A 21,889-nucleotide genomic window follows, 5' to 3' on the forward strand; every position below is an offset into this window, starting at 1 on the left:
TTAGCCTTCGAGAAGAGGGTCCCACGGAAGCTTGCACACATTCAGGAGAGAATGAAAATGAGTAAATGCGGATAGTTGCTAATTGTAGATACTAGGAAATAAAATCTGGATCAAGGAAATAGTGAGCCAAAACAGTGTTATATTTTTCCTTTGTCAAAAGAGAGTCTCCTTAATTAAAAGAAAGGGGAAGAGTCATTGCAGAGTAAGAAAATTATACACCAAACAAGGGAACACCATAGGAAAGGGTTTCTTCCTGACTCAGGAAAGGTTTGGGGCTGGAACAGTGAGTGAAGAGTTAATGCTAAAGGGGTATTGAAAATTCTTCCTAAAAGATACATAGCAGCATCTCAAATAGATGAAGCTATCTCTAACTTATCTCTTCCTTTAGTCTTTGTCTTTTCAGGCTGAACATCCTGTGTTTTGCCAAAGTGAGATGAGTTTGAGCTCCTCATCACGCTAATGGATCTCTTCTGATGTGTTCTAACTGTGTCAACCTCATTCTTCATAGTCTGTGTGCTAAAGGGAACACAATATCCAAGTGTGGTATGGCCAGCACATGATAGAGCATGGCTGCCACCGCTTAGCCTGGATTTGAAATTTATTGTGCAGGTTAAAATTTCATTAGCCTTTTATTTTGCAAGTTACATCAGACTTCAGATTCGCTACTTATTTTACTTATTTTGCTAACGTGTAGTGTGTATATTTTCCCCCATAATTTTCTCTCTGCCACTGTAAAAAAAGCAATACTGCTTTAGATATTGGAGAGGGATCTGTTCTCTAGACTGTCTGTCATTAATGAACCCCCAAGCTCTGTTCTCATTTCTGAGCCACTCATAATGATTTCCAGGTAGGAACACACACACACAGCTGTATATTCAAACGCTGGGTAAACTTTTGTTTCTGACACATCACCTGTTTTGAGTTTGAAAATAAGACTAGATGTGCTGTCAAAGTTATTCAAGAAAGAGGAATATGGGGTAATGAAAAAGTTCACTGCTTTGACCTGTTACCAAACTGTTGGTAAAATGTTTACTTTGATTTCTGAAATCAACCTGTAGAAGTATTAGCTCCTGAGGCAAGTACTAATACAGTGGTTATGCTATTAAAAATTTCTGCAGAGCCATTTGGCTTGAAGGGTAGGAAAATTGTTTGCAGCTAGTTTAGGATTGGTTTGATTGCTGCTGTTATAAACATCTCTGAATTCTATTTTCTTACATGCCCAAGTAACCTAAAAACCTCACATCAAAGATGAAAGCAGATTGACTTGGCACAACTAGATTGTTTTAAAGAGCAAAACTGAGTACAATAATAACAGCTTTCAGAAATTGTGAAAATGTTAATGCAAGAAAATTAGTTCTAATGCAAGCTTAGCCATGGAATTTTATTGAAAAAATATTTCATTCGAGCATGAAGCATTTAAATAATGAATTTATAAGAAGAAACACAGAGAGATCACAGCCAGCCATTATTTACAATAAGAAAAACAAGTACATTCTAATGATAATAGATTTGAGTACGAAATACTCAAATACTTCGTGTAATTTTTCTTTCATTGCCTGTTTGTCATTGGGAGGCCTGTCTGATGATTTGGGTAAGTCTCACGGGTGAATAACTTTGTGTTTGCTCAGCAGAGAACAACAGTTGCAATATGTAAATAGGGTGCCTCTTCCCGTTGGCTGCCTTGGGATATGTATAATAGATTAAGTTGGCTTTGTGCAGAGCAAACAGGTCTGTATTACTAAGAATATGAATAATGTTGGTTTCCATAATTGCTAACATCTGGCTTTCCATAAATCTGCTAAATTGCATGGAAACAGAATTAGATTTCTGTGTCATAAGTAAAGCAATTACATGGAACTCTGTAGGCAATATGGTCCTATATTCAACTGTGAAATCTTTTCATTCTGGAGAAGTGAAAGCAAATCCTGGTTTTGCGCCCTGCTTTTATTGTGCACAATAGGTATGTTTATCTTTATGCTCAGCCTTCTTAATTTATGAGAGAAAATCACTACCAATATATTTGCAACTTTGTAAATGCAAAATAACCAAATATTTTAAAAGCATAATATAGCTGGGCATTAGTTGTCAATGTAGATATTTTTTAGAGAAAGCCATAAATTACCAACCCTTTTGTAGCCACTGGTGGTGGATGGGTTGAAGTTATACTTCCAGACAATTTCTGGAGCCATTTGTTAATGCTTCCTCTGCCCTTGTTCTCAAGCATTTGACAGAAAATAAAAGTTTTTTCCTGGGGAAGGGGCAGGGCATTGCCCCTTCTTCAATGTGGTTGCTAATTTGCTGTATTTTTTCTACTTTAAATTAGACCCAAGGGCCTTCACAGATGAGAACTCAACAACAAAATGTGTTCCCTGAAGGGCAGGGTTGTGATTATGCCTTATGCTTGTTGAACACTCTAAAGACCGAGTTTTGGCAAAGTAGGCATTATAATAGTCTCAGTCTGTGGATTTCCTAAGAAAGTTAAATGGAATAAATACATCGAATATCCATATAGTATTCTGTTATACTCAGCACTGGGAAGAGAAAGAAAAATAAAATTTAGTGTCTGCCCTCAATGAGCTCACTCTCTCTGGAGGTAGACAAGTTAAACACGTAACTCCTGAGAGAGGAATGCAGGATAGAATTGTGTATAAGGTACAGAGAAAGCAAAAAATCTGTAGTGACTGTCTTGCCATATAAGAGATGGTGAGGCTTAACCTGAATTTTTAAGACTGCGTAGGAGTGAAAGTAGTACAGGAAGGAAAGTGCTTATCAATTAATTGATTGATACCTCACCTCATTCCCTATAGGACAAGAAAAAGTAGGGAAAGAGAGAGAGTACTCTCATAATAAAAGAAAGCATGTTCTAAGACACAGTTGTTTCATAGGAAACAATATGGCCTCTTTGTGGATCTCCCGTTGCTTTTTAAAAAAAAATCAGTTGACAAATACATTTTATATATATTTATGGTGTACAACATGATGTTTTGAAATAGGAATACATTCTGGAATGGCTAAATAATCAAGCTACATAATATATATATATATATTACCTTATACACTTACTTTTTTGTGACAAAAATATTCTCAATTTTCAAGCATACAATACCTTGTTATTAACTACAGTCATCATGTTTGACAATAGAGCTTCTTGAATTTATTCCTTCTATTTAACTGAAATTTTGTATTCACTGCTTTTGAATGAAAAGGGAGGGGACAAGAGATAACAATTGCAGTATTAGATGGCATTTATATGCTATGCTGGGTTTAAAATTTTTGGAAGACCATACATTGAGTGGGTATAGTGTATATAGAAGATAAATGAGAGAAAAACAAAGTAACATGTCAAAGAATATATAACTGTTACGTGTAAAATGACTAATACATGGTAAGCACTCAACTAAAAAGTAAGAGCTTGGTTTCAAACATTGGTCACCAGACTCCCACATTTAAAACTCCTTTTAGTTGAGAAGAATAAGAGAATTGAAAGAAGATTGAAGAGATAAGAGAGGCTATATGAAAGGAGCACCATATGTTCAAATAGAAATACACTGAGAATGGGATGGGCATGACTAGTAACAGTGAGGAGATATAGTGAGGCTTGATTTTAGTTGACTTACCATACAGGCATCATAATTTGGGATCTTTTCTATAATTTTCAAAGGAGAAATCATTGTTCACTAATGAAATGTCTTGACTAAAGCTAAAATTGGTAAGACAAAGCCAAAAATTAGATCTTGGAAAAAAGTAACTTCTAGAAATATTATTAGAATTTCTTAATGTCATCTGCTTTGTATTGCACCATGTGCAAAGAAACTTGTGCATAGCAGGTAAACCAAAACCAAGTAGACTAGTAGACACTTATTCAATGGCCTCAGACACTAAGTATCAGTACTTCTACAAATGAGTAGAAGTTACTCGGTAGTATATTTCATCTCAATTTAAGGGAGACATTTCCAAAAGAGTTATCCAAAGGTGGAGTCAGGTATTTTGCAAGGTAATGGATTGCCTTTTGGGGAAGGACTTAAGCCAGGGTTGGACAGGTTTGTGTTTGAGATGTTGTTAAGGTCGCTCAAGCTTTAAATGTCAGAATCGGCCGACTGGATTTATGTTTTTATTCCATTGTTGGCTGTCAATAAAGAGCAGGACAATATATTTATGTCTTTCATCAGCATCCATCCATATAGCAATTATTTTTTATGCACGGGCAAATATTCTGCTGGCCATAAGGATAGTAAGACTTTGACTATAAAAGACACCTATCAAGAATTGTTCCCACTTCCTTCAACTTTGGTGGTAGGATCTAGGAGCAATCTGATTGTCTCAAGGTTGCCCAAATTGCCCACTTGTTCCTACTCAGTGGCTAATACATTCACATCTTTTCTAAAAGACTCAGATCTCCATGGTGGTGTGTGCATACTGTTAATGAATTAACAGTGTTTATGGCCTCTGGATGAAATCGTTCTTAAGAATATCCTAAAAGAACTTGCTAACTGCTACTGGATATTTTAGTAATTAGAGTCTGGGAGCTAGCTGTAGATTTGGGTCTCAGATCAGCCACTTACTAGCTCTATGACAGTGGTCATGTTATTTAAGTTATGAACCTCAGCTTCATTATTTGCAGAATAGGAATAAGGACAGATCTCCCACACAGAGCAGAACTGACTTGCAGTGTAAATGAGATAATACATGTGAACAGCTTGGCAGTACCTAGCACAAGGTAAATGGTCGATGATGTTAGTTAATGCTACTGCAAATGATGGTTGTTTGTTCTCTAAGTTCCCTTGGCTAGATTCTAAGCTTCTGTGCTTCCTATATTGCAGACATTGATGAATGTGCCTTAAGAACTCACACCTGTTGGAACGATTCTGCCTGCATCAACCTGGCAGGGGGCTTTGACTGTCTCTGCCCCTCTGGGCCCTCCTGCTCTGGTGACTGTCCTCATGAAGGGGGGCTGAAGCACAATGGCCAGGTGTGGACCTTGAAAGAAGACAGGTGTTCTGTCTGCTCCTGCAAGGTGAGGCTGATGTGGTGCAGCAGAAATTGAAACTGTTCTTTCTCTTCTTCCCTCACTTTTCTACCTCCCCAGCTCTCTCCCTCTTGCTGTTGACTGTAGTTCCTGAACAGGCTTCTCCTGTTCTTATCTACATTACAGCTAATGATGATGCTAAGGGGTAGGGAAGCCTGCTTTGAATTGATTGTGTTCTTAGTGGAAAGTGAGGTATGAGATTGAGAAGGAACTGCAGGGAAGGCGAAGCAGGGTAGAAAAGCCAATGATAGTCCTCCCACTGAAAGCCTACAGTGCTTTTAAGGTTGGTTGGGTGAGAGTTTTAATGAGCCCTCATCCCACGCTTATACAAACTTGCTGATTAAAACTACTCTTTGCCTAAAATAACCACCTGCATGAACTTGCTCACTTTATGACATCATCTAGAAAAGCAAGGCCAACAGACTTGCATCCAGTGCTGAGACAGGTGGATTTTCATTTTGAACAAATGATAATGATAGTATGAGGCCTCTTAGAAATTGATGTCTTCTTTGTTATTCTCAGTGCTGGGCCATTCCTTATATTAAGTTGTTGGAAAGTGAGCTTAATGCTTATGAAAATAAAATTCTGTCATCATTTGGTTTTGCTTTATGCTTTGCAAAATGGGTCTATTAAACTGTTTGATCTCTTTGTGCTTTATTTCTTCTTTTATTGATCTTGCCTATTTATTTTCCTTTGTTATTGCTCTACTGTAGCTCTTGCCTGGTATGTCTATGTCTGTTGGGATGGGACTATTTAATCTTGAGCTTTATGTGCATGGGAACCAAGATAAATTACTTGCTTAGTAGCCTCTTAGCCAAGTCTCCTGATAAATTCCCAGTCTGCTGAAACAGAGCTGAAATGAGCCTTAAGAAATCATCCAGTTCATCCACTTGCCTTCATCTGCCACACATCCACAGACCTGGGGCCACCTAGTTAGGAGGGCCACATTATCAAGTGCTAGATCATTACCCCCAACACCTATTTTTTCCCCTTTCACATAAACCTAGTTTCCCACACTCCAATCTAGGTTTGTTTTCCCTTATTGGAGCACCTGCTATATTTCAGCCACCCTATAATTCAAAAAAGCTGCATCATGTTTACTTCTTACAGCACTACTTTGAAAGACAATGAAACTGAATTTCCATGGGATAAAGTAACTTGCCCTAAATGTTAAAGATATAAATGTCTAAGCTGTGACTTGAACTCCACTTGCTTGGCTCAAAGTTCATAGTTTTTCCATCTTGTCAGATGTCTTGTAACACTCTACGATGATATTTATTGGTATATTTAAAACCAGTTAGGTAACTGGTAATCTAACTTGACTGAGCTCAGACTTTCAACTCAGACTTTTGACTTTCAACTAGATTCCATGTACTTCCTTGTATGTAAGTGACTGGTGAGACATTCCTTCAAGGGGTTTTGAAGTTATTAAGTATAATATTTAACCACATGGTGCTGACTCAAAGGGCAAAAATTTTTAAGAGAAGACAAATCTCATTGTGGGTTAGAATATTTCCATAATTCCTCATGGAAGAGGATGGTAATTAGGTCTCCCATTCAGCCAGCAGAATGGGGGTGAATTCTTTGCTAGGTCATTTCAAGAAACTATTGTGTTATTAAACTTTTGAGGATGATCATTACATATCCTCACATCCTTTTTGGGCTTTCTAGGTCCCCAGTCCCTGGAATAGGCAAAGGACATTAGTGGAGTCTTGATTAGTATGAGAGTAAAATTCTTCTTTCAGTTTTTGTTTTATTTAAGCCATGATGAAGCAGGGAACTTACTAATCATTGAAAATTTCCCAGAGCTTCTTTAATTAACTGTATTAATAATCCAAGCAACGTATATTGATTTCTTCTGTTTTGAATCCTGAAGTGTTTCCAAAGTCTTATGAGAATTAGACTGAAATTTCCACAGGGGATGAGCAATTCTTGTAATCTAATTTTGTTAATATGATGCACCTTCACTGCAAAGCACTGCAATTTCTGAATAAAGTACAGGCAGATTTCTGTACATAAATCTTTTGTTTGTTTGTGTTCTACATGTACTCATTGCCCATTTATAGCACAGTTTCCCAGAGGTTGTGGAGGGGGAAGACAGCCTGGTTTAGGAGCTGAATTAAGCATCCTAAATCAGATTCTGTAAGTCACCATTATAAAATGAACTGTTTGTGGCCCTCCTTGTTTCTATTATTTGAAGTTGAAAATGCTCTGTTTCAATTCAATTTGATAAGAAATACCTCCAATACTTACACATCCAAATGGGTGACTATAATGGCATCATCTTGGAAGCTAAGTAATAAAATCAAGGTTGGGATATAAAGTACTATCTTTTCAATCATATCCTTGATGTTTCAGATTTAAATGCCGTCAAATTATGCAACAGCAGAATTACACAAACCAACAAAAGGTCAAGACTTACTGCTGAAGGAAATAGAGTTAAAATTTTTAAAAGGCTACTTTCCCCTTTGAGAGTCAGTACACCAGCTTAGCTGCTAGTGTTTCATGGTAATTGATAAAAAGGCCTTGAAACATGTCCACAGATGAATAGAGTTCAATGATGAAGCTAGGCTAGCATAAATGGATTTGGGCTTTTGTTTAGATTCTATGTACTTCCTTGGCAGTGACAATGTTTTTGTGCATCTTTAGACACCTAGTTAATTAGGTACAGAAAGATTGCTGCACAGCTTAAAACTTATGTCCCTCCAGCATTATTTAGACCACAGGAACCCAGATGAAAAGTGGTTGTCTCTCTGGGATTGATCCATAAATCTTGGTTACAGCCCAGCGTCTTTTCATAGATACCCATCTGTGGCTCTTCCATTCATAAATTTGTCTAGGACTTTAGGAAGACATCTTTATTTTCAGCCTGTGCTACATGGGAAGGTAGAGACGTCCCCAGCTTATTCGTTTCTAGGAAATGTAGTATTTTAGTGTGAGTAGTTGTGTTTATGTTGCAGATCATGGAGATGAAGATGAAAATGGATACACAAACAACTAACCACTTGTCATATATGGTAGAGCTATGAACAATTTGCTGTGGGAACACAGAAAGGGGAAGCATAGTCTGCCCTCTGTATTTGTTGGTTCCACATTCTTGGATTCAACCAACCCCAGATCAAAAGTATTTAAAAAACAAAGATAATGCAAATTTAAATTAAAAATATAAATATTTCATTTTTACCCTATTAGGTATTATTAGTAATCTAGAGATGATTTAAAGTATATGGGAGGATATGCATAGGTGGTTTGCAATACTATGCAGTTATATGCAAATACTATGCCATTTTATAAGGGACTTGAACATCTGCAGATCCTGGTATCTGTGCAGAGGTCCTTGAACCAATCCCCCAGAGATACTGAGGGACGACTGAATGCTCTACTCTGGGAAGATGCAGAAGTGAATACGGAAAGCCTTTCACAGAGGAGGTGATCTTTGAAGGGGCCCTTAAAGGATGAGGAATTTAATCAAGTAGAGATGTAGGGGAAGGTGAATCCCAAACAAGAGGGAACTGTAAGAACAAAGATGAGGAAGTGTAAGAATATATGTTGTGTTAGAAATATGAAGTGAATCATGAGCTCAAAATATCAGGAACAAAAAGAGTATAAGAAGGGTATAGTCACTGATGAGCCAGGAGATTATGATGAGCCAGGAGATTAAGGCTGAAGACAGAGCCAGGCCACGGGATTTAGACTTCATCCTGTGGGCAGCAAATGATCGTAAGAGATTTTACGTTTGGAATTGGCAGGGCCCAGTCAAGGTCTGATTGACAGCATGATGGATGACCTGAGCAGATAGAAGCTAACTAGAAAGAAATCACTTAGGCTGAGGTAAAGGTTCAGAGGAGTAAAGATGAAAACCTGAAAGAGGGATAGAGAAGTAACATCTAATGGGAGAAAATGCAGAAGTGAAAAATGGGTCCTGATGACTGATGATGCTAGAGACTTAGTGTCTGTGGTAATGTCTTCCCTATTCTCTGGGCAAAAAAAAGCTCCTGAGTAGCATGTTTGAGACATAGCTGCCCATTTTCTCAGGTGAACAGGATTCAGGTGCCATTACATAAGAGTAAGAACCAGGGTCTGCAAGTTGGGCTTGTATACTACTACATCTATACCTACATGTACACTTATACCTATACTATTTTGAGTAGTAACTGGATAATCTAGTGGGAGGAAGAGAGCGAACTATGAAGGCCAGATAGTGTTTCTATGATTTCTTGCAGTTAAAAAATGTGAGTAGCCTTCATCGTGAAAACAAAGTAATACTAAAGACTTGAGCAGTGTTAGTTCTTGAGTTTTTCTGGGGTTTAGAGATGAGTAGGGAAAGGGATACCATAAATAGCCAGTATTTATGGTATAACAGTATTCCATGTTATAATAAAGTCAGGGATGAATTACCGTGGAAAGGAAAGTCAAAGTGAAGAAGACCTTTTTCATGAGATTGTCTGGAATCATGGCCATCTGATCTGGTTTATGTAAACCTATTCCCAGAAACTGAAGATGGTCATGCCAGCGACACTCTCAAGAACTCATGTATCTCTTTCTGGCAAGGAGGAAAGAATCTGATCCACAAGGAGCAGTCAGCATACTGGTTCTGCCTTCCTAAGAATAGGACTTACTCACAGGAAGAAGCCAGGGAACAGTCTGGTCTGTGCCTGGGGCCAGGATAGAAGCAAACTTTCTGAATTCCAGCAAACTGCTCATAAAAATGCTTTGCCTTGCTCTTTGAACCCAACTAGCAGCATTATAAATATTTTCCTGTCTGTGGTGGTTTTGATGGTTGGAGTTAGCTGTGCAAGCTGTAAGATTGTGTTTCTTTTCCTTGGAAAGAGGAACTTATTGGTAGGTTTCATTTGGCACTCAAAACTCTAGGGGTCCTGTAAAGGAACAGGGCGTCTCTTTCTATTTCCCTGACTCTTTCCCCTGTGGTAGTGTTCAAAACCCTGTTTTGACCTTGCAGGAGCTTGAACGTTACACCATGCTACCTCCCCATCTGACTGGGTGATGTTTTTTCTCCATGATTTTGAAGCTTTGCACCAGAATCACCTGCAGGGCTTGTGAAACTTTGATCACTGGCTCTACCCTCAGTATTTTCTGGTTCAGTAGATCTGGGGTGGGGTGCAAGAATTTGCATTTTTCAGTAGTTCCCAGGAGATGGTAATGCTGCTGGTTTGAGGACTGCCACTTTGAAAACTTTTGCCCCAAGAATACTTCTGATATCACTTTATCTAAAATTAGTTTTTCCTATCCCCTAGCCTCCTCACGATACAAAAGGTGCATCACAGTGGAAAATCATTGTTATGAAAGTTCAGGTTAGGGATAAGTTTCTGTTTTGTTATTAGTTTTCTACATGGAAAAGGCATTTGCCTCTCTGGGCTTGGTTTCCTCTTCATTAAAATGAGATAACTGGATAAAATGACTGCTAAATGTGTTTCTACCCCAGGTGTTAGGACTAAGAGACCAGTTTGTGGGCTGTGACCTGAAGGCAAAATTAATACTTTGTAAAAAGATTGGAAATCACAGCTCAATTTGTGTGTGAGAAAGTAGAATAGGTGCGTCTAGATTACCAACCCTAATTTCATAGTCTATATCAGGCATCAGCAAGGTTTTTTTCTTTAAAGAGTCATGTTGTAAATATTTCATGTTTTGTAGACCATAAAGCTTCTGTCCCAAATACTCAATTCTGCCATTGCAGTGTGAAAAAGACCCACAGACAAAATGTAAATGAACAAGGGAACTTGTGTTCCAATAACACTTCATTTACAAAAACAGGCATCAGGTTGAATTTGTACCGTGGGCATCCGTTTTCCAACCCAAAGTTTATATTACTGTTTTACAGAAATAATCTGACCTACGTCCACCTTCTTGATTTAAAAGTTTCAAAACTCTATGGCAGAAAAAAAATGAGTGATATTATGTAATCTGGAGTAAATATATCAGTATTTACTGATATATTGACTGAAATACTGAAATATTACTGAAATACTGACTATTCCATATTAAAATTTGTAATTAATAGCAAAAAACCTATAATATTTTTATGGCATAAGAAAAAATGTATTTTTTTTACCAGATAGGAAACTTTATTTCCCTGCTTTTTAAAATTCAGAAGCAATTTAAATATTAGAATAATTATTAATTGCTTATCATTGAACTTGCAGTATAAAATTGCATCAAAACAGCTTCTGTGGCAGAAGATTGCAAAAATACATCTTTGGCATATAAGTAGGGATTGTTCAAACCACCCAAGTTAGGATAGAGATCAAGCTCTGGAAACAGCCTCAAAGATCTCTGATAAAAGGATTACTTATCATCAGTGAGCTCCATACTCTCCCCAAATTTAGTTTCTAGTGTGATTGTGCTCTGTGAGCTGATGTTTTATAATGGCATTCTCATTGTATTAATGGAGTCACCTGTGACATTTTCATTATTAAAAATGATTTTCTTGACAGTTACCCTGTAATTCAAAGGCAAAGTGAACATTGCCATTGTTCTGAAACACGTTAGAAGCTAAGAGGGGCCTATTTGGCATTTTCACATAATTGATGAGATATGAAATTGCTTTATTTTGCACTAACCCTGGAGGCTATCCATTTATTCTTATTCATTCTTTTAATCAGCACATAGGAAGAAAACTGACATTCTTATTGAGTCTCATAGCCTGTTGTGCAGCGACCTTTTCTGAAAGAATTTATCCTTTTGTTTGATGCCAGCCACAGACACAGACATGCTGGTTCCTAAGGCATGATCCTTCTACACTTGGGAAGAGTGATAGTGTGCCATTGGAAGCTGAGCTGATCAAATGGTTTTGTGTTGTAGCTATCATTACTTTGCTTAGTTTTTGTTGGTTAAAGTAAGTCTTCAGGGAGTCATTTGGGGCCATGGTGACACAAGCAAAATATATTACTGAGTTAAAATAATGGTATATGAGCTGTAAACCAAAGGCCTATTGTTGGGAAATTCCTAGGATCAGGACACTTCCTTGTCCTGACTAGCTGGATTCTCTGATTGAATTCACTTGCTAAAATATAGAGTCTCTTGCTTGCTCTCTATATACACATGTTTGCATACACATGCAAATGTATATGTGTGTGTGTATAATCTTTCATCTCTTGATATTTTTGGAACACTATGATTTCTTGTTATTTGTATAGTAAAAGAGCCAATGCACACGATACATTTTTCAACCTGTTGTTATATATGTAGCTGGCATGTCTCCTTTCCATTCTCCTTAAAGAATATAAAGCTTTTAAGGTTTCCACTTTAGCTGACACAAAACATCTCAGCAAGTCCTGTCTGATTATTCAGCGTTGTTGTGGATAAAGTAGATAAAGACCCTGAGGGCAAGTCCATCAAGTTTTCAGATGTCACTAAGCTGTGAAGGACGGTGAGCTATAGTAAATGACATAAATAACATTTGCAAAGCATTGTGACAGGAAGAAGAGATGAAATAGATCTAACAATATGAAATGCAACAGAGATAAACATCAAGTTGTATACTTGCTGCCCCTAAACAGCCAACTGCCCAAGATGAGATAAGGCTTAATGAGGTTTTAGTCTTCATTAAGCTCAATATTAGCCAACACTATGGCATAGTCAAAGAAGTAAATACAGTCATGCATCACTTAATGACAGGGATACATTCTAAGAAATGAGTCATTAGGCTTTTTCATCACTGTATCAACATCATAGAGTATATTTAAACAAACCTAGATGGAATAGCTTGCTACACACCTAGGCTATTTGGTATAGTCTATTGCTTCTAGGCTATAAACCTGGACAGCATGATACTATATTTAGTATTGTAGGCAATTGTAACACAGTGGTGAGTATTTGTATATCCAAACGTAGAAAAGGTACAATAACAATACATATAAAAGACAAAAAATGGTATACCTGTATAGAACACTTACCATGAATGGAGCTTACGGGACTAGCAGTTATGGTAGGTGAGTCAGTGAGTGAATGTTGGGTGCATGTGAAGGCCTAGGATATTACTGTGCACTTCTGTACCTTTATGAACCTTGTATACTTAGGCTACACTAAATTTTGAAAAAGATTTTTTTTCTTCAATAAATTAACCTTAGCTTATTGTAACTTTTTACTTTATAAACTTTTTAATTTTTGTAACTTTTTGACTCTTGTGTAATAACACTTAGTTTAAAACACAAACACATTGTACAGCAGTACAAAATACTTTCTTTATATTCTTATTCTATAAGCTTTTTCTAATTTTTTAAAACTTATTAAACATTTTTTTCAAACCGGCACACAAAAACACACCTTAACCTAGGTCTCCACAGGGTCAGGATTATCAATATCACTGTCTTTCACCTCCATATTTTCCTCCATGTCTTGTCCCACTTGAAGGTCTTCAGGGACAATAACACGCACAGAGCTATCATCTCTTATGATAACAATGCCTTCTTCTGGAATACCTCCTGAGGACTTGCCTGAGGCTGTTTTAGTTATCTCTTTTTTTTTTTTATAAGTAGGAAGAATACATTCTAAAATAATGATTAAAAAAGATAGTATACTAAATACATAAACCAGTAACCTAGCCATTTATTATCATTATCAAGCAGTATGTACTATAAATGACTGTAGGTGTATATTTTTATACAACTGGCAGCTCAGTAGGCTTGTTTATACAGGCATCATTACAAACACATGCATGAGTAATACAGTGCATTACATAATGGCTGCGATGTCACTAGGTGACAGGAATTTTTCAGCTTCATTAAAATTATATAAGACCACCTTTTGTATGTGTAGTATGTCAGTGACCAAAATTTCATTGTGTGGCACATGACTTTATTGAAAAAAAAGCCTGCATTAAAGAAACTACAACACTTAAAACAAGGTGAGCATTAAATTCAATTCACTCTTTCTTCAAAGACCATTGCTGAATAATTCTATTTAGTTCTCTCTCAGCTACCTCATTTGAGAAATAGAGAGATACATTCGCATTCCACAAATTATCAGGATTAAATGTGATCATGCATGTAAATGCCTCTGCACAATGCATGACACAAGATAAGTATTAAATACATGGTAGAATATGATGATGATGATGATGATGATGATGATGATGATGATATATACTTAAAACCATTGAAAGAGAAGGCAACTATGACAGTGAAAGGATTATAAATGATGGGGACTGGTCAAGAAGTTAGAGGTGTTTACCCAGAGATGAAACATCTCAGTGAGTACATAAGAGCTGTCTTCTAAAAACTGAAGAATTGAAACATGACAAAGTGTTTGGAGTTCTGTTATTACTGAAGGTATGGATTCGGGTCAATGGATAGAAGTAATGAGAAGTCTGATTTTTTACATTATAACATGTACAGAGATGCACACTGAATTCTCTCCATAGTGATGAATCCAAGACTGAGAGCCTCAAGCACTTCAGCAGTTGAATATGACCTCAACTGTAGGTCAGGAGGCTTGGTTATATGTTCTTTAAGGTAACTTGCAGCCCTGAGACTCTTTGGTTTTTTAAAATATTCAGCAAATTAGTTATTAGCATGAATGGTGATGACAGACAGGTCTTACCTTAAATTTTCAGCAATGAAGAACATTGTTTAAGAAATTACTGTAAGCAACAGACATAAAAAAAAGACATGCTGCAAAATGTTTACTCTTACTGCTTAAGTGCTGCTGACTTTCAATTTTTTATAGCTATGAATCCTCAAAGACAATACTTCAAAAATTGTACTGTGCTTACAATATGGGGAACTGCCATAAGGTGGAAAGAGGCACCTTATTATACACCCCTGTAGTACACAACTTTAAGGCGATCTTGCCAAAGAATATTTTGAGACCATAACAATTGGTGGTGCTGCTTGGAGAACCACTACCTAACTATGTCATCTTGGATAAGTGGTTTAGCCTCTCTGGGTCTACGTTAATTTTCTGTATAAAGGGCATAATCAGACTTCCTTTCACGGTTGGGACAGGGATATAGTTAGATGAATGTATTTGAATATGTTAAGTGGTAGCATGGAAATACAGGAGCATGATTTTCCACTCAAATGACTTATTGATCATATATGCATTTTTAGCTGCTTACTTATAATTCTTACTTAGAAATACGATTTTTAAGAACCCCTTTGAAAAAGATTTTCAAAAAACATGTTGACTTTTTGTTAAACTTAAAAATGTTCCTATTTTTATTTTTTCTGCTCTGCAAGCAAAATCAGGGAAAGAAAGGGTGTGTTTGTGTGAACACACATGTGTGCTTCAGTTTTGAACAGAATGAGAGGTGGCCAGGGGGTGACCAAACATCCAAGAAGTTCATTTCTCTTAGTGTAGCTGTCCATCATGTCCTAAATGATGAAACCTCCTTAACTTCATTTCTAAACAGGATGGCAAGATATTCTGCCGACGGACAGCTTGTGATTGCCAGAATCCAAGTGCTGACCTATTCTGTTGCCCAGAATGTGACACCAGAGTCACAAGTCAATGTTTAGACCAAAATGGTCACAAGCTGTATCGAAGTGGAGACAATTGGACCCATAGCTGTCAGCAGTGTCGGTGTCTGGTATGTTGGCTTCCTTTATAAGGTGTTGAGCCTTTACTCTGAAAGAGGTTACAAATTCAGTTGTCTGTGGGACCTAGTTCCCAGTTTTTCATAATACTATACAGGGAGCTCTGTGGGGCCTGTGGCTAAGGGTCATGTTCTCTTCCTAAAGATATTCAGGTTGTATTTGAAATACTGTACAAAGTAAAAAGCACATATTTATGGGACAGATTTGACCCAAACAATGACAGTTTACAGCTATTACTAAAAAGAAATCAAGATCAAGAAAAATCTCTGCAAGAAAGGAAGCTTTCAAAACCTTGACTAGTGCTTGTAGTCCTGACAGAGCTAAATCTCTCATTTCTGTGCCATAACCCTTAAAGATTTCAATATAAGAGGTAACAAAACATAGTAGAAATATCAGAGATTTAATCATAGAGACCTAGAATCTAAATGTGGTCCTCCCACATACTAGCTTAAAATGATTACCTTGGGCAAGTCCTAGCATTTTACTGACTATTCTGGCCCTCAAGTGGACACAGGTATGTGAGTACCTCTGAGGGAAAGAATGGGCTGTTACAAAGATTACAAGATATGTAAGAAGGACAAATACAGTACTTGGCTTAGAGAAGGTACTTAGTGTATGGTAGTAACTATTGTTAATACTTCCTACCTTGAAAAATCTTTTCAGATACTACATGTTTAAAAAGGAAAAAATGAAGGTTGTTATAAATATTAATATAGGGCTACTAATGGTATAATTAGATTTGAGAAAGTCCAGAGAAAAGGCTTAATTTCTTGACCTGGTTCTTTCAGTTTCAAATTATATCACAAAGATTTCTAGCAGTGGGAAGACTTCTAGGACACATTGTCATGGAATGTGATGTCCCATATGTAAAGTCACAACTATGGAACATTCTGAGTTGATTGGTAATGGAAACTATTAGCTGTGTGTCCGTAATTTAACATTTGCTGACATGAATGATTCTCATTTTATGGGTACTGTATGAAAACAAGTATTCAGATAAATTATGCTCTAAATTTCCATCAGATTTTTTTAAATCTTCAGGTGAATGTGCAGATAATCTTAACAGAATATGTCTTTCTTAATCACTCCTATGACTGAGAAGCATGACTCAGATAAATAAAAATTGTAGTCATTTTTTAAAACTCCCACCCAAGGACAAAAAAAGTCAATACAACTGTAGAATTAGTTTCCCTATGAGACTGGCAAATTGCATTTCTTTTCCAAGAAGCTAATCATCAGGCATCCAGAAGAATTAGTATTAATTTGATGCATGAAATTTTCATAGATAGAATTTCAAAAGTGTATCCTCTTCCATCCTAGCCCCTAAGATGAATATTTCTCAGGAAAATTGAAGCTGTTAAACACATAACTTATGAATTACTTGAGAATACTGTGGGTCATACTTAATAAATATTCAAGACTTTTCATGTGCCAAACTTTGTATGACGTAACAGTGAGCAAGATAAACATGGCCTATACCTACACAAAGCCCACAGTCTTATGGAGATGACTGAACAATTAAATAAGTTGCCATATATTGTAAGGTATTATGCCATAGATTATAATTCATGATAGCAGAGGAAGAGGATGCATAGTGAAATAGTTTTATTGTGGGCAGCTCAATGAAGCCACAGATGCCAGATGCTGAGACACACAAAAGCTCCATTTGAACTGCAATCTAGAAAGTTCAGTGGTCACATGTTATATTCAAAACCATTCTGAAATGGTTATCTTGACATTGCCCAATCTTAACTTTAAATTTGATTGAAATATTACAGTGCTTCAGGTTCTGCTTTTGAACTTAAGAGAAATTAATTGCTCTTTATATACTAGACAGTACCTTATAATTTATTTATTAGCCTTTATTGACCAAAACTGTGCTAAACATGATGGAGAGAAAGTAACAAGCAGAAAGTCTGAAAGCTCAAAACTTAATGTGGAATTGTGCTAATTATGATATAAGTATCATGTTAAAATAATTATAGGCTGTGCTTGGCACACAAAGAAGCTCACCTAGCTCTTTCTATGTCCTGCAGTATAGATGATCAGCAAAAGCATTCTGAAAGAAGTGAGACCTGTAGTAGGTCTTCAAGGAGGAAGTGTACTTTATCCTCAATGGTGTCAACTAGAAATATTCAGTGATGAGAATTACTGTGCTCTCTTTCCCCTTCTATGACTTTGGGAATAAAATTATGCATAGGAACAATAATGAGACATTTTTTGCTTTTCCTCTACAGGAAGGAGAGGTAGATTGCTGGCCACTCACTTGCCCCAACTTGAGCTGTGAGTATACAGCTATCTTAGAAGGGGAATGTTGTCCCCGCTGTGTCAGTGACCCCTGCCTAGCTGATAACATCACCTATGACATCAGAAAAACTTGCCTGGACAGCTATGGTGTTTCACGGCTTAGTGGCTCAGTGTGGACGATGGCTGGATCTCCCTGCACAACCTGTAAATGCAAGGTAATTGGATGTTCTGCGGATATTGAAGCCTTGAACAATTGCCAGAGAACACTTGCAGGAGGTCCACTCCTGATGTTTCTGAATACACAGGTTCAATGGACATGGTGGAAACTCTGGCATACATTTACTTCTCATAGGAATTTAATATGTATGAATATTATCATAGCTGCACCCTGTAAAAAGGCAAATTCCAAATGAGCATGAAATAAAAGAATTGCTCCTGCCTTTGAACTACATAATTTTGACAAGTGATTCTTGGCTTAATTATGACTAACTTAGGCTCTTTTGACATGCATATTAAATAAAAAGAAAAGAAAGAAAGGGAAAGAACAAGGAAGGGAAGTAGAAAGAAAAGAAGGAAGGAAGGGAGGGAGGGAAAGAGGGAGGAAGGAAGGAAACCAGTCAACTTCCTTTCATCCTGGAAAAGTTTCTAAGTTCTTTTATTAAACTGTCAATGTTAGGGGAAAAAAGTCCTCTCAAGTTGTTTTGCTTTGTTTAATTATCAGAGTGCCTAAGGTGGGGACCTGCAGCTCTTGCTACAGCATTTCATTAACAGTGATTATTTCCCTGTCTTTTTGGAGGGGTTTTCATGAGACATCCTCATGTGTCATTAAGACTAAAAAACTGACCATTCTCTCCCTTCAAAGCTCATGAAGAGCTGGAGTGGTAGCTGATTTGGAACAATCATTAGTTAGTGTCAAATATCTGCCAAAATATCTGTTTAAGATTCCCATGATTAAACATGTTAAAACTAGGAGCCTACTTGGTCCCATCAAACCCTGGCTCAGCTTCAAGCATCAGTGGAAGCTTCCCAACTTGCCTCTTTATGCTGTTATAAATGTAGATTTTTTTTTTCTGGGAAAGTATCATCTTAAGATGTAGCCCCAGTAGAAAAAGGATACTATCAGACCTCATATAGAAAAAGGTCCATGGTCCCATCTGTACCTTCAGTCCCAGAGAACTAAATGACCAGGACACAGGGAGACCTCTGTTACTTATTTGATAATTATGTGGAATTATAAAGGTATATTTACATTAGTACATAAAATTTTTAATGAATTTATAAGTATTTATATACCTAACTATGCACTATCCCCTTCATAGTCACCATGAGAGATTTTATGCAAACCTTACTGGACCCCATCTTGGACTTGCCTGAAGATTGTTGGGGGTACTTTCAAATAGCTTCTTAAATGACAAATTGCTATCTTTTAGGGATTTATTTTTGGAAAGAATCTCGCTTGGAATAAGTACAGCAAACAGGTCATGTGAAAAGTTGGAAATCCCAGGGAGGCCTCCCAAGCAGGGATTGAGTGCAGGTGATGTGTGAAATTGAACTGCTAGCAGAATCCCAGTGAGCAGTACCCTGGAGGGTCTGTCAGTCCTTCCTTTCTTTCTACTCTTTCTCTAGTTTTTTTCCTAGCATTTTTTTCTAGTCATTTTTTATAGCCTTCTTGAAGTTTGTCTCAAAATGCTGAAAGTTGTTTTGAGTATAAAAATTGCAGACTGCTAATTTATATTCCATGTCTCAACTGGCTAACACATGTTTCTTTGATGTACAGAATGGAAGAGTCTGTTGTTCTGTGGATTTTGAGTGTCTTCAAAATAATTGAAGTATTTACAGTGGACTCAACGCAGAAGAATGGACGAAATGACCATCCAACGTGATTAAGGATAGGAATCGGTAGTTTGGTTTTTTTGTTTGTTTTGTTTTTTTAACCACAGATAATTGCCAAAGTTTCCACCTGAGGACGGTGTTTGGAGGTTGCCTTTTGGACCTACCACTTTGCTCATTCTTGCTAACCTAGTCTAGGTGACCTACAGTGCCGTGCATTTAAGTCAATGGTTGTTAAAAGAAGTTTCCCGTGTTGTAAATCATGTTTCCCTTATCAGATCATTTGCAAATACATTTAAATGATCTCATGGTAAATGTTGATGTATTTTTTGGTTTATTTTGTGTACTAACATAATAGAGAGAGACTCAGCTCCTTTTATTTATTTTGTTGATTTATGGATCAAATTCTAAAATAAAGTTGCCTGTTGTGACTTTTGTCCCATCTACTGCATACTTAGTGCTGAGATCCCTGTAAAATGTTTTGATGAAAATATGTATGTAGAGTCCAGTCGCATTATACATACATTTCATAGTGCTGAACCTTCTTAAATGCCTACTCATTCAGCTTAAACAGGCTGAAGCCAAGTATGACAAAGAGGGGAAGGGCCAAAAACATAATCAAAGAATAATTTTAAAGAGAATTCTTGTCTCTCTTGCAAAAATAAAAAAATAAAAATACAAAAAATTTAACCTGCAATTTAGAAGCAGCAATGTTTAAAGCTTTTCTTGGCTTTGAAAGCAAAATTACCTTTGTGTCAGATTTATGTAGTACTTGATCCTTTATAAAGCATCCCAGTTAGTTACTAATAAAGTTATAATCATAGTACATGTCAGAAGTATTGTCCCTATATTACAGAAGTGTGAATTAAGGAGTTCCAGTCAACTAATTTGTTGATTTACAGTGTGTTGGGATTGGTAATCAAGTCTCCTAATTCCTGTTCCGTGCTTTTTTCTACTAAACTACATTGCCTCTCATATACATGAAGGAGACACCTTTAAGATAATCTATTTGTATGCTCAGAAGTTATTTTGGAACAGTGAATGTTTCCACTTGAGCCAATACCATATTTTTAAGAATTGGCAGTTATTAAGTTTTACAAAATGAATAAATGCTCAAATGACATTATATCTGAGCTGAGAATTCAAGCTTGGTTATAGTTTCAGGTAAATCACATCTCAGTGGTTTGTGATACCCACAGCTCTTGAATTCATCATTACTCTGAATTAAGTTGGTTTTTGGATTCTCATTCACTCCACAACTTAAAAAAAGACCTGACTAGTTAAGTCAGTCATGCTAAAAAAATTTAAATATCAAATTTTAGCCAAATTATTAATTTAAAATTACATGCTTAGACAACTATTATTCATTGGTATTTGTCCAGTGGAAATGATACCCAATTTTTTTTGTGAAGATGAAGTTCATTACATAAAATCAATTTTATGTATTGAATTATGATAACAGCAGTTTAAATACTACATTTGACAAAGACTAATATGGTAAATTGGAACACATCTCTGTTTTAATTCCCTAAATGAAACCTTGAAGAGAATTTTAATAATATTTTTTGAAAAATTTACAACAATTAAAAAAAATCTTTTCAATTTTTGTTGGAAAAAAACAAAGACATTTACAAGAATTATTTGTGACTGAATATGTCAGGGATTGGTGAACTATGACCTCGTGTTAAATCTCATTATTAATAGCATAAAAGCATTGTGATTCAGTGGAATATGAGGAAAGATGAAAGTTCCACACATTAACTAGACACATATCTAATGAACACAATTTTGCCTCATTTGTTACAGCCAGGTTGCATATGAATATATGTGTGTATATATATGTTATATATAACATTGTATATTTGTTATATATACTACATATGAATCTATATTCATGCATCCTACAATACATTTATATTTAAATCTACTCATACATAACATATATATGTAAATACACACACACACACACACACACACACACACACACACACATATACACTCATTCCCAGAACTTCCCCAATTCTGAACTTTATAGATCTGTGCTTATGTACTGATATGAACTTTTAAAATACATTTTCTTTGAATTGTGGTTACAAACATATGGCTGCAGGCTATAGGTTAGATTATATACTAATTGGGTACAGTCTTCATCTACCAGTATTTAGCATAGTGCCTTCCATATAGTGGGTTTTCAATTAAGTCTTTCAAATATTGAATTCATAATTTTTCATAG

At 36.4% G+C, this 21,889-nt stretch overlaps 1 protein-coding gene across 4 annotated transcripts in view; it reads left to right on the forward strand.

The window, feature by feature from the left end:
- The window catches only part of NELL1 (neural EGFL like 1), a 906,136-nt gene extending 885,818 nt beyond the window's left edge, over positions 1 to 20,318 (forward strand). For all 4 annotated transcript variants that reach the window (NM_001288713.1, NM_201551.2, NM_001288714.1 and 1 more), the window contains 4 exons: positions 4,821 to 5,014; positions 15,396 to 15,572; positions 17,817 to 18,041; positions 19,604 to 20,318. In NM_001288713.1, the coding sequence (NP_001275642.1) occupies positions 4,821 to 5,014; positions 15,396 to 15,572; positions 17,817 to 18,041; positions 19,604 to 19,654 (647 nt within the window). In that variant the 3' untranslated portion in view covers positions 19,655 to 20,318. The remainder of the gene's footprint in view (positions 1 to 4,820; positions 5,015 to 15,395; positions 15,573 to 17,816; positions 18,042 to 19,603) is intronic.

Source organism: Homo sapiens, chromosome 11 (assembly GCF_000001405.40).
Source record: "Homo sapiens chromosome 11, GRCh38.p14 Primary Assembly".
Lineage (NCBI taxonomy): Eukaryota > Metazoa > Chordata > Mammalia > Primates > Hominidae > Homo > Homo sapiens.